Source organism: Homo sapiens, chromosome 15 (genome assembly GCF_000001405.40).
Source record: "Homo sapiens chromosome 15, GRCh38.p14 Primary Assembly".
Lineage (NCBI taxonomy): Eukaryota > Metazoa > Chordata > Mammalia > Primates > Hominidae > Homo > Homo sapiens.
In genome coordinates this window covers 39,180,323-39,194,678 of record NC_000015.10, presented here as the reverse complement: position 1 = coordinate 39,194,678, position 14,356 = coordinate 39,180,323, and the positions used below count along the sequence as shown (strand labels likewise).

The following is a 14,356-nucleotide window of genomic DNA, read 5'->3' as shown; positions in this document are numbered from 1 at the left end:
TGAATGCTTTGAAGGCTCAGATGAACTCTGTTAAGAGAAGAATGCCCAGCAAGGTCCAGGATAATGTTTATGCTGAATCTTGTCCAAGTTTCTCTTCCTGGGAAAGATATTAGCTGACTCTGGAGCTAAGTCTAAGTTGAGGCCAGTGAGACCTGTCCTGTAGCTTCATCCCCATAACAATGGTTGATACTGGCTTTATTCATGGCTTCCTATCTACTGTTTCCAGAGATGATCTTTCACAGTCTTCAATAAGCCTTCAACTCTCAGGAATTTTACCATTTCTAAATTCAGGATTTCTGCTATTTCCTGTGGTTATATTGGCCCTATAAACAGCACATCTTTCTTTTCAGTGAAGAAATTAAATGTCACATAGTCTGCTCTGAGAAAAGAGCCAAGTTCAGGGCAGAGACTACCTTCCTGGGTACCCCCCAAGAAGGAGTCTTGATCACTTCTCTAAACATGCCCTGGATGTTCCCAGAGCTCATGAAAACGCTGCTCTCCAGTGGTGCTAGCAGCTCTGATGAAGGCTAAGTCCAAGCTCTGAATTCAGGAGAGCAGAGCTGCCTCCTGCTCCCACCACCGTGGTTCTCAGGCAGTAATGGTGAGCATGGCATTTAAGCACAGTATGTGGCAGATGGCAGGAATTTAATGCATAATTTTGTTTGTAAATTGAAAATGAAGTAGTGTTCCTTATAAGACTTCAGGGTATTGGGAGCTTTAGGTAATTGCAAATGAATTTCATGGGGCTTTGCATGGGGTTAAGTTTCTTTCTACCTTCTAAGAAGATCCATAGCAGCACAAGCTGACTTTTCTTAACTGAGATCAGGAAGTCATCAACTAACAAACAGGGCGGCGGCATTTAGCCTCTGCTGTGTACTATCTTTATGTTTGTTTGTTTGATCCCTAGGATACAGTACTATTTAGTTAGAGGAAAACATTTTTTCTACTTGAATATGTTTTTATCAGGTTTCTGATCCATTAGGCATTCTCTTCTTACTGATAAACATTTGCAGGCAGATTGTAAAACTACATTTGGAGGGGCAATGGGGGTAGAAATTTGCTTAAATTTTGTGCATTCCTTATTTTTGTACTCTCAAAATTTCCTACACTCTAGATTTACTTAGAGTTTATTTTATATATTTACATGCCTATATTTTCTTTAAGTAATTTTTTTGTATTGGTTTGAAGAGTGTGTATGAAAGGGAGGGGGAGAGATAAAGACACACAGAGAGGGTTTTGCTTTCAGTGCCTCAAAAGGCTTAACTTGGTTATTCAGGAATGATCTCAATTTTGTTTTGCACATATTTCACTCTGAATTTTATCCAGAAATTTAAGGTTACAATAACTCTTCTGTGGTTAAAAGCTGTTTTAATTCTAGGAATCTCAGTCTGAATATACTTTAAGGAAAGAAAAAGTCTAATATATTTGGTACTGAACACTTAGGTCCTAATTTTCTGTTCTGCCCTTATGCATTATGCAATATTTTCAGTGGGTTGGCGTTCTGCTTGGTGACCTTTGAAACATGCAGGCACCATCTTGAAATGAGGACCAACAGAAGTTCTGTCTTTCCTGTTTACTGTGCTCGCTTTCCAGGACTTCTTCCTGACAGTGTGTCTCAAACCCTGAAGGTTGACAATGAACACTCATAGAAAAAAAGATAGAAATTTGTTTGTGGAAGTGGGTATCTGAAGGGTTGCGGTTGATAAATTATTGCAAAATGGTGAGGAGATTATCTGAAATCGATCAAAAGTTATAACGATGGTTGTGGATGGGTGTGGCCCATCACACACATGGTGAACTACACTAGCTGGTAGGCGTCTCAGGTTTGTGAATGTGTGGATTTTGTGGATCCCACATAGCTCAATTCAGCTGAGTGCAGTTTCCTGGGTTCATCTAATACTTTTTGCAGATAAAATTGCAGAGAGTAAACTTGGCATTTACATTATGCTCAAATTGTTTCCTGATATTTCACTTACACTGAAACGAATGCAGTTTCAAAATAAGAATTTATAGCTAAACCAAGCGTATAACTATGATGATCACAGCTAACATATCTTGAGCCCTTGTTATGTGCCAGGCACAATTCCAAGCTTTTGACATGTATTAATTAACTCATTAAGTCCCGTTAGCAACTCTTGAAGTAGGTACTATTGTAACCCTTATTTGTAGATGAGTACACTGAGCCACAGAGGGGTGAAACAACTTGTCCAGGTTCATAGAACTACATGGGCAAGACTCCAGCTCCTGTTTTATTCACTCTGCTCTTCCTCCCTCTCTATTGAAAGGAAAGTAACTACTTTTGGATGCTAAACCTCAACTTTACAGAGTAGCAAAAACTATCAGATGTTCTTGGCCTATCATTTGCCACCTGATATTAATAGGAAAATGTCTTAACTCCTTCCAGCCAGCAGAACACTCACTGAATATGACTTAAGGGGATTGATGATGGAGGAACTGTCTAAGCTATGTCAGAAGAATCCAATGTGTTAACTCACTTTTTGCTTTAGTCTCCTTTCTTTCCAGGGCAAGATTTTCACTATGTGCTAATGGAAAGCAGTGGGCAGGGGAAGGGCAAATAAATGACTACACAAAGGTACATACCTGTACTTGGCCAGGGTGGATCTATATTTGGTAAGATTAAGCCCTATTGTATTTTCATGTCTAACAGTTACAGAATTGAAACTTGTCCCTCAGGACAGGAATTTGCTATCTACATTCCAACATTCCTTGTCTTCTGAGCAAAACCACTGCATTGATGTCATCTAATCCTCTTGTTTTTATATTTTCCCTCTTAGCTTGGTACTGTCTCCTTTCTTCTCTGGCCATTCTACCACACTATAATGGAAGGTTTTTGTTTTGTTTTGCTTCATTTTGTCTCCCCCACTCCTTTTAATTTGTCTTTGCTGGTGAGGGTAGTGGTAGTAGGCAGGAGTACGTTGGGAAGAGCAGAGAAACAAAACCACTCTAGGCTTTGAGAAAATTAAAAATTTGAGGTCCATTCTCATTTATTCTTCTTATTAAAAATATATCTTTGTTTGCAACTGTTACATAAGTCTCAAATTACTTAAAAATTGAAAGTCTCAAAAATTTCCTTTTGATTGTATAAAGGTTATTTAAAAAAATAATAAATATTCTCACATACAACCAGAAATGATAACAATTACCCCAAGCAGTGGTTCTCAACTCTGCTTGTAGGTTAGAATCAATACTTGGGGATGGTTTTTAAGTTATTTAAGAAACAATATCAACAACCCCCTCCTTTGTTCCTGTGCCCTGACAAAGAACAAGAAACTATGGTAAGTTGACCAGGGCAAGGACTTCTGCCTCTATTACTATACAAGGACTGCACTGGATAGCATGTTCATTCATTCATTCATTCCTCATTATTTACTGAGGACTTAACAAGTGCCAAGCATGGGGAGGAATGATGTGATGATTATGTATGCTCTGGAGTGAGAAGACACTGAGATCTGAAGGATGTGCAGGAATTAGCAGGGTGAAGGCAGGAGCATCATGAGAGAAGGTTGTGGGAAGAGTAATCTGGGCAAATGGTAGAACTCTGTGGTGGGAAGGAGAAGACCTCAGAGGAAGTTTTCAGAAGGAATGTGTGGCTGGGGAGGGTTGTGACTGGCCAGGACTGCTCTTTGAGACCTTTCTGTCTAGTCTCCGGTCTGCACTCACTGGCAGCCTGGGGAAGGACCAACAGAATATTCTACCACCGCTCTCCCCCAGTGCCTCTCTGAACAGTCAACTGCGATAGCTGCTCTGTCTTCACTGAATTCACCTAGGCCTTTCTCTCCGCTGTCCTGTCCATATGAGGTTTCCTCTGTGGTCACTTACTGTGTAGCAGCATCTATTCCTTAACTATTTAAGAAACCTTGGCCAGTTTGAGGCAGGGACGATATAAAAAGTCAAGGGAGGCTCTGGGGATTTGGGTTCTGGTCTTGGCTCTGATACTAAGTAGCTCCGGTGTCACGAGTAAGTCCTTTCTTTTGGGGGACCCCAATTTACTCACCTATAGGATGAGAGAGTAGGCTGAAGGGTCTCTGAGGCTCCTCCGAACTGAAAGCTTACCTTCTAGAGAAGCTCTTCAAGCCAAAAGTCTTTACCTTGAGATACCAGACTTGCTAGTTAATTTAGTTAAATTACACTTTTAAAATAATCATTGCTAGGACATAAGACTAGTTGAGAAATATATATTTTAATGCATATTTTAATTCAGCCAAGCTTGGGATGTCCGATTTCTATAGAATAGCATAAATATGGATGTTATATTCCAGTGGCCCTAATTGTGGTTAACTTTCGTAGATCCAGATGCTGCATATACCACAATTGAATAATAAAATGTCCTCAGACACACAGTACAAATATATGAAATATTTATTTGTGTTAATATGATGAGCCCTGAGATGAGTCATTCAAAATGGTGGTAATCTAATTATATTAAGAAATAATTTACTTACCTAAAATGAAAAAAAAATCCTAAAAATACCTAATGTTGGTATTTCTCAGGTTCTATTATTGGCCATGTCAATTGGAGCAACCATTTGGAAAGTCATTTGGCAACATCTCCCAAAGCTGAATATACATGAAGCCTAGGAGCCAGGAATTCCACTTCCAGGATATGCCCAATAGAAATGAATACATATGTTCACCAAAAGGCGTGTCCTAGAATGTTTATAATTGTGAACAGACCAAAGCTAGAAACTATCCAAGTGTCCATCAACAATGGAGTGGGAAATAAAATGTCTCTTCGTACAATGGAATCTACATAGCAATGAGAACAAAGAACTTACAAAAGTACACAGCAACATGGATGAAATTCACAAGCATAATTCCGAACAAAAAATGCCATGTACCAAAAAGCTTATAGCATATGACTCCATTTATGTACAGTAGAAAAACAGGCAAAACAGCTAGCCTGTTAGAAGTCAGAATGGTGGTTACCCTTTGAGGGGCTGTTCCTAGATGGGGACTCATGGGGTAATGTTCATTCCATGTCTTGAACTGTGCACTGATTACACTGGTGTGTTTAGCTTGTGAAATGTATCCACCTATACACTTATGTGGTTTTCTGTATGTACATTATATTTCAATAACATTTTAAGAAAGTGTTTTGCCACTTATTAGTTCATTTGACCCACACAACAGTTCTAGGAGATAAGAAGGCCAGGTAACTTTTCTTCAGATTTATAGAAAGAAAACAGACTCAAAGTTTGGTCCAAGGTCTCAGTGCTAATTGGTGGTGGAATCAGGTTAGGTATGTCAACCTCCTGGGCCAAGAAAGATAGTCTCTGTTGGAGCACCTTGCACAGTGCTTGATGCATAGTAGGTGCTCAATAAATTTCATCTGAAGCTGGATCATAGAATGGTGGCCTTCTAATCCCACAAGGCTGTTATCCTGCTGTGGGAGTAACCATCTTCTCTGGTGGTCTAATGTCCCTTATAGAATGTGCGTATTCTCTCCTAAGAGAAGAGTGGAGATGAGGCCTGAGTCAAATATCCTAAGAAGCTGCCAAAATACCTGTGGAGAATTGCATAACCTTGTCCCTCTAGGGCTTAGAAAAGAATGAGTCAGACAGTCAGTTCTCAGACACGGTGCCCAGGAAAACAGGAAGAAGGTTCACTTAGGCAGAAATCCATGTATGTGACCTTGGATACATCACTGAACTTCTTCAGGGGCAACAATTTGAAAGACACATTTGAGACACTCTGCCTAGGATGACGTGATCCTTCTGTAGCTGATCTTCTGAGACCCGTGAATTTTATGTACTATTTTCTAATTATATTCTCATTATTTTCAAGGGCATCAGACTGCATTTCAAACTTGACAATTCCTTTGCTATAATTTCAGCTCAAATTTTGACTAATTTATACTTTAAATACAAATATGCCCCATTTTCTGCTTGTCATCATAGTTCAGAAAGAAGTTATACCGACCATGTTATATAAAGTAATGAGGGGTCCTATTCAGCTTGTTAACCATGTTTCTTAAAAAAAAAAAGTACAATAGAACTTTCTTTGTCAATATAAAATTCGAGTTATTTATGATGTGGCTAAAGATATGATAAGAAGTCTCAGGAATGGAATCTGTTATTGCTTGGAAAATAAAATCTCAAGACCTTCTTTGGAAAAAAATGGAGAGTGATAAAATGCTTTCATTTAGGGCTTGGCTGTGATGTCAAGGTCAGCCAATGAGCTTAGAGGGAATCTGAGAAAAATAAAGAGAAAAATAGAAACAGATGTCTGGAAAATCTTCTTGAATATTGCTGGTGAAATTGTATGGTTAGAAGACAAAATTTCAGTGTTACATCCATCATCCTAAAAAGGTTATAATGAAAGCCATTTAAATTGGTGTTCAAAAACCTTGTGAGAACTTTGGTTGACTGTATTCCACCATGAAGTGCGTTTTGATCTGAAGTCTTGGTTAGGGTATTCCTCCAATAGGTCAGCTGCCATGGGCCTCCTATTAAGTCAAAGTCTCTATTTCAAATTAGCATAAGAGAGAACGCTGATGAAAAGGGGAATAAGAATAAAGCTAAATAATTGTTTTGGCTTCTGATTGATCAGCATCTATGTTCTCAGAAGCAAGTTTCTTTTTGCCTCTAGTTGCTGCTGATGGTAGGAAACAGAAAAATACCTGTCTTAAAAAGTTGCCGAAGATGGTCAGTTGAAAGGGTTGAAGAGCCTAACAGAGGAAATAGATCACCAATAATGGAGCTAAAAAGGAATGAAAGTAGACAGCTTAGAGATAGGACCCTTGGAGACACTCAGATGGAAGGGTTGTCAAAAGGCTAAGCATAAAAGACCAGGAAGAGCTATAATTCTAATTAAGGTTCAGGATGGTTTAAAAAGGAAAATAATCAAGATTGGTAAGAAGAGTTTAAACTTATAGTAGTGATAATGATTTGACAGTTTGTTCTAGAATGTCTATCTATTTTACTGATTAGTTTTCAAGAGTGCTGTAATTCATACTAAGAAAAGTAGAGAAAGCTGATTATTTCTAACTCAGTACTACAAAGGTTTGACTTAATTCTGTTAAATTCCTGGCTTACTGCTAATTGTATGACCTTGGATAAATTACTTCACCCCTCCAAGCCTCACTGTCTTCATCTGTAAAATGGAGAAATAGTAGCACCTACTTCATGACATCACTTTGAGGCCTCCATGGTGGATATGAATTGCTTATTCCAGAGCTTAGATTATATTAAAAGAATACTACATGGTTTTTGTTGATGGTGGTAATGATGATGTCCTTGAATATCTTTAAATTGAGGTGCTCATCTCTACCTTGTCTTTCAAAAGATTCGAAGTGTCTTAAGTCCCAAATAATAAATAAAATTTTATTTCTTTTTATTTCTTGTTTATATCTCACCTCCCCTAAAAGCAAGACTAAAACAAAATATTTATAAGGTTATTTCAAAAATAAAAAGGGGCTAGACACAGTGGCTCATGCCTATAATTCTAGTGCTCTGGGAGACTGAGGCAGGAGGACCACTTGAGGCCAGGGGTTTGAGACCAGTCTGGGCAACAGAGCAAGACACCACCTCTACAAAAAAAAAAAATACAATAAAAAAAAAAGAAAAAGAGAGAATTTATAAGAGAAAGATTAAGTCAGAATAAAAGAAAAAATACAAAGATGTGAACTAGAGAGAGAGTCTGTTTCAATCAAAATCTTAGAATGGATGGTTCATTCAAAATAGGGTAATGTAAGAAACATTTATTTTGAAGACTATTTACAAAAGTGGGATTGTAGGAGACCTTTAAGAGATATTACTTCTAGGCCTGAGGAGGGTGGGGTCTGGAACCCTGAAGAGAGAGTCCTGTAGAGCACACTGCCTTGAGAGGACCACAGGTCTCTGTTGAGACGCACAACTAGCCGGAGGTGACCTCACGGGGAAGGACTGGGGAAACACATTCTCTGAATTCACTCTCTTTCCTCTTTCTCATCTCCTGCTGCATCTTCCCATTTGCCCAAAGAGAACTGGAAGCCAAAGGGAGTGCGAGCCATTGATATTATTTACACAGACCCATCTGTCTCCAGGAGCAGAGGAAGAACGGGGAAGGGGAGGCAGTGGATCCAGAGGAGCAAACAGAACATGTCGAGCAGAGGGTACCAGAAAGTTGATAAATCAACGCTGAAATCTCAACCAGAATCCAAAGCACAACGGGGAATAGGATCATATACAAAAATAGCGTCATCAAATAATAAAACACCATGCCATTTCCACTGGAGCTTTTCTAGAGAATTCCACTTTTAAATGACATTCTGTAAAATTGTCCAAGTTGCTAAACATATAAAATTGTTGGATATCAATTTACATCAATTAAATTTGGGATGCATCTAGGAAAAATAATACTTTTGGCTTTAGAAATTGGTCCAATCTATTCTTTCTGAAAATGAATAGATAAAGATTTACAAAGGCAAATTTTACATTGTGACAATAAAATATCTTCTTTTTCATTAAGATTATTTTTAACCTACTATCATGACTGTTAAGTAGATAGCTCATAAAAAGGGTTCAGATCATTAAGGTAGGTTTAAAAGAAAGAGGACCAAAACATGCTGACTTATTCCATCCAGAATTGTTCGCTGATACATTGGGAGAATATCCCCGAGGGTTGAGTTTCATGGGGGTGAAGTGTAAGTATTGGGAATCAACATTCTCAACTGAGCACACACAGCTTGGCCCATCAATGGTTCTTTCTCACAGAGATGGAATCTAAGAGAAGGTGAGAAAAAGCTCCAAGTCAGCTTAAACTGATCTGGACAGATCGTTCCCTCTAGGTGAAAAGTCTGCCAGAGGAATCAGTGGTTGGAAGCAATATTCTCCTGTTTTGATATTTTGAAAGCCAGATCTCCCCAAAGATACAGCAAATAGAGCAGAGATTTGCATAACTCTCTTTGGTAAAATCTCTACTTTGTGTAAATACAATATTGGATGGATGGGGCAAATCCAATACTAGTTGGTTGTTAGTACCACTAAAAAACAACTTATGTTGTTAAACTTTATAAACACTTTCAGAGAATTACATAAACCTCAGAACAACATTGTGAGGCACTTTCCTCTTTCGAGGATGGAAATGTAAAACTCAAGAAGATTGAGAACGTTCTCCAGATCACCAACTGCTAGGATTAGTGTGAGAATGATGACTGGAGGGGGTGATAATCAACAGTCTTCTAAACATCTTTGTTACATGAACAAATGATACAGGTGAGAACACAGTCCTTTGCTTGTTTAGCTCCTGAGAATGCACATGAATTTAGAGGATGAACAGGGTGGGATTCCCATGCAAATCACTTCCATCTCTATGGATGTAGATGAGGATGGGGAGAGGCAGTGCCAGTGGCAGAGCAGCAGCAGGACTTCCTGGTGGCCCAGGCACCCAGTGGCTGTCAAAGCATGCCAACCTGCAGGAGCCAGACAAGCGTGGGTGGTTTGAGGTAAGTCCATGTCTCACGGATTGCCTGGGAGGCTTGGAAGCCTAACCACCCACGATGACAGGCCCTGACAGCCACAAGCAGGCATCACTAATCTGGGTCCCACTGCTCCATGCTCACTGTGTCAAAGGCTGCAGGTCAGTTGACAGCCTGGCAACCCTAAATTTGGAGTGCATCTAGGAAAAATAGTAATATTGTTTTCAGAAGTTGGCCCAATCTATTTTTTCTGAAAATGAACAAATAATAAAATGATCTATAAAGGCAACTCTCACATTGTGACAGTAAAATTCTATTGTCAATTTTATTGCTGTTACTCAGAGTGAGTCCTCTGTGTGAGGCGTCATCAGCAGGAATAACCAGGGTCATTGCTTGCCCTTTTTGGATTTTTTGTGCTAGAATCCTCTTGGGCTATTGTCAGTATGTGTCCTCCTCACCTCAGGGAAGTGAGACCTGAGTAATCACCCTTTTCACAACCCTTCTCAGAATTTTACAGAACAACTGGACTCAGTTAAGAAGCTCACAGCATCAGCATGCCTGGCAAGGAAGACCCTTTATTTCCCTTGTTAACAGGCCTGTGGTGGGCACTCAAACAACCAGATTGTCTCTCGGGAATCTCTTTGCCTTGTGAAACCTAGAAAATGTCTAGGGAATCTCTTTGCCTTGTGAAACCTAGAAAATGTCTTCAATGACAGGTGTTTTTGGAGGGGAGTTAAAGAAATAGCTTCTTCTCAATTAATGCAAAACACTGCCTCTCATTCCACCATGCAGCTCCACACATTGCTTCATGACTTTTCATCAGGCTTATGTAGCCCCAGAAGGGTACACTTTGGCAATAGGACATTGCCCTCTTCATTGTGCTTGGCAAAGCCCACTTGAGAAACGAAAGCTCCACAGAACCCCTCAAATTCATATGCTGGGCCACCCTAACTCTAATGTGAATGAGAATGGCCATAATGTGATAAAAACTTGTAAGTACCCAGCTTATTCCTCCTGAAGACCCTGAACACATTTCACACTGAGAAATATACTCTGGGCTCGATGTAAGCCATGGACAGGAAGCACTGCCATCAGCCAAGAGTAAGATTCCAGGAACTTCACCTGAAACCACTGCCAGATGAAAGCCACCTTGATTCTGTGACCATTGGAGACTTGGTTTCCTTAGTTGAATAAACACAGAATGTGGAGCTGGTAGATTCGGGATTAAAGCCCTCCACTGCCATTTAAGACGAATAGGGTTTTAGGTAGTCTTCTTAATTTCCCGAAGCTTCACTTTCTCATCTACAAAACCTGGAGATACCAATGCCTGTCTTATAGGGTTTCCAAAGCGATTAAATGTGCGCTCACAGAGAGAGGATGGGGACAAATAGCTCCCAAGGCATTCTTAACTGTGGAATCAAGATGGCCTCTTGGATCCTTGTAGCATCTCTCTAGGTGCCCAGTGGCTTTCACCTCCATGACTTCCTTGAGTCTCACACTAATCCCATGAAGGGGTTAAGAGCAGCTCTGGAACACTGTTGTGTAAGAAGAAAAAGGCACAATACTGAGAAGTTTAATGACTTTTTCCTAACATCATAACAGGTGGAACCAGGACTGATTGTTCTGCCCAAAACATTATCCAGGAAACTCTGCCAAATCATATTTTGTAAACAGTCTTACAATATCTGAACAGCAGATATTCAGGTGAGACACAAGGAAGAAGAGCTGTTCTACCCTGAAACTAGCCACAAATGAGAAGTTCTAGAATCTTCTCTGACGCTGAAGGATTTAGAAATGCCAATCATGAAAATGGCATTTCTGTTGAAAAAGTAATGATTCTTTAGCCACACCATTAACCTATTTAAAATGATGCAATCAATTTTGCTGTTAGTCATCTGCTGTGAATTATTGAGAAATAATGGCATTATGAAATATTATGAAGCCATTAAAAACAATGAGGCAGATCTATATGTGCTGAGATCAAAGGGTATCTATCAGATATTGTTTACTGAGAAATGCAGAGCAATATGTATAGTGTAATTGCATTTTTGTAAAAATAATATATACAACTTATATGGCATACCTGCTATAAGAGATCAGTAAGATTATATATCAAACTGTCAACTGGATTTGTCTCTGAGAATGTATTTGGAATGGGGATCAGGTAAAGGAATTTCAATTTTTTAAAACATTTTTTCCATTTAAAATTTTACAGTGAAGTGTATCCATCTTTTTAAACTGCAGAATATCAAAAGTCAGGAAAACAAAAAATCACATATAGTATATATAATAGATATTTATTAAATAAGAACTTAGTGAGTTTCATAATTCTGTTACAAAATATTACTATTATACTTCACATTTAATTTGGCTTTATAATATATATATTTTTAATATGCATTATGTCATTTGGGTTTTATATAACCCTCTTGAGTTGGGCAGACAGCATCTTACAAAATGGGATTTTGAGGCTCTGAGAGGTTACATCATTTTTCCAAGGTTATACATAAGTGATACTTGGACAATCTTCTTGTTACTTGACTTTTATTCTTTTACCTGAGATTTTTTGGGGCCCCTCTATGTGCTAGGCCCACTGTTCTCCCCACTACACCATATGCACTGCAATTTGCAAATAAAGATTTGAAAATACACAAGCACCATATAACTCAAAGCCTGAAAATGATAAATACAAACCTCTAACTAATGGATAACTCTTAGATGCAAATTTTATTTTGGTTACTCTCCCTATGTGCTTTTCTAATATAAGCTATAGCAGGTTTTATTTACTCAACCAAAGTTTCAGCTTGCTTTTCTGAAGAAAAGATTTGCTAGTTTCAACTTTAGCTTTTTTTCCTCTCTACCATTCACTTAAAGAGGCCATTACATGGTTTTTAGTTCATCTCTCACTTTAAAAGATAATCAAATGTCTGCACAGTCCTTTGTTTCTTTCTTCCATAGCAGATCATTTTTCCTTCATTTTTGTACGGGGAAAGGATTAGGCAGAAAAGATGTGCCAATCATCCCAAAAGACTGGAGAAGCTTATAAACTCATCCCCAAAGGGAAATTCTTTTGCCATCATGTCTCAATTAACTTAATTTCTGTGGTCTGACTTTGCAAATAGAAACTTGAGTCCATCGATGTGCTCAAAGTTAAACACCAAACAACTGCAAGCTTTAACTGTAGGGTGTTGGCTGGCTATGCTCACACAGAGGAGAACTGCAAGGAGAACTCTGTCCATAGTTATCCATTAATAAAGGCAATGCAGACAAATATGATTCATGAGGCTCCTGCTACAGAGGGATGGGTGGGCAGGAAATAAAGTCTTCTAAGGCAATGGAGTCAAGGAGGTCTGGGTTCTGGGGATAGCATTTGTTTACACACTTATTCTTTTATCCTATTTATGTAGGTGCTGCCTGTGATACAGGTATAAAAATGATTAACAAGTAGGGTTATTGCCTTCCTGGAACAATATTTTGGTGTGAAGATGGGACAACAAACCGATTTTTAAAAAATTAATTACAGATTGTAATAAATGCTAAGCAGAAAATAAGCATAATGCTATGATGGTTAATATCAATGGTGGGGGAAGGCAGGAACCTATTTAGATAGGGAGGTCAGAAAAACCTGAGAGGCAGCATCATAAACTCCTGTCATACATCATTCTAATCCCTGCTGCAAAGCAGACACAGCCCCTCCCCTCCCCTCTGCCAGATTTTAATACAGCTCTCTTGAAAAGGCTGGGAGTAAAATGCCAAATGGAATAATTCCTCCAATGTCATGTAATCAAGTCTTGCAATGTGTTAGCTAATTTTGTGCTGTAGCATTGTCATAAAATGTTTTCTGTGGCTGAAGAACGCCTATTTTCTTCTTTATTTTTACTCTTCTCCTCCCTTCTCAACTATTGCCATTTTAATTCTGACCTCCCACACAGCAATGAGTTGAGTTTTCTCTGCAGTGACCATTGTGCAGTTGTAAGAATTTGGAGAGCAGCAGGAGCCTGCTGGGGCTGTGACTTTGTCTGGTGGCCTTGTTCTCAGAGAGAGAGAGAGGAAAAAAAATGGGCTTAAGAGGAAGGATATAGATTATGAACAAAGGAAGCCTTCATGGCTGCAAATAAATAATGAGGACACAGGATCAATGGCAGCATAGAGCTCCTTTCCTAAATATTTAAGACAGTGAATTCTCTGGAATTGTTTTGGTACAGTCTTACCTTGAGGCACAGGACAACCCCCAGCAGACTTAGGGTGTCCCTTCATGTCCTAGGACACTATAACACAGAGTCTTTTTAAAAATTTTTCCCTTGACTTATTGTGTTCAAATGCTCTCCATTAGATAAAACCAGCAATGCAATGCCAAAAAAAAAAAGCATATATTTGGAATTCCTTCAGATGATCTGTTCTTGGACATACTGTTTAATTGCATGAGCTTTTCCAGATGTGAAACTCTGGGAAATAACACTCTATGGGAAATAACAAAGAATTTGTGAATTAAGTAAGTTATCCTGCTTTTATGCATTTTTTCCTGTGTGATTATATATTGTAAACAGAATGTTGAGGTTAATCATATGAATTTGTCAGAAAATGCACTCTCAGAATTGTTTTGCTTAATAAAAGTCAAAATTTCTTAAAAAGAAACCAGCTGTTTTACATTTATACCAAGATCAGGGTTAAATATTTAAGATCTTTGTATTGAGTCATTCCAAATGAGGTAACCAGTTCTCTTAAGACTAAATAGCATATCTCAAAGGCTATAATACATAGGAAAGAGTTTAATGTAAATTATACAATTAACATTTACAAAATAATTTCAACTGCTGTCTCTTTTTTTTTTTTTTTAGAGACCTGCCTGGTTTTAGCAAACATTCTGCTTTAGACAAATTACAGTCATTTACTTTCTTAATCTTTTTGGCTTGATGTAATGCTAATACTGTGAAATTC

The 14,356-nt window shown here is 38.5% G+C and overlaps 1 long non-coding RNA gene across 1 annotated transcript in view; it reads left to right on the top strand.

Moving 5' to 3' along the window:
* The window catches only part of LOC105370777 (uncharacterized), a 556,255-nt gene that overhangs the window by 226,382 nt on the left and 315,517 nt on the right, over window positions 1-14,356 (top strand). The window lies entirely within an intron of this gene.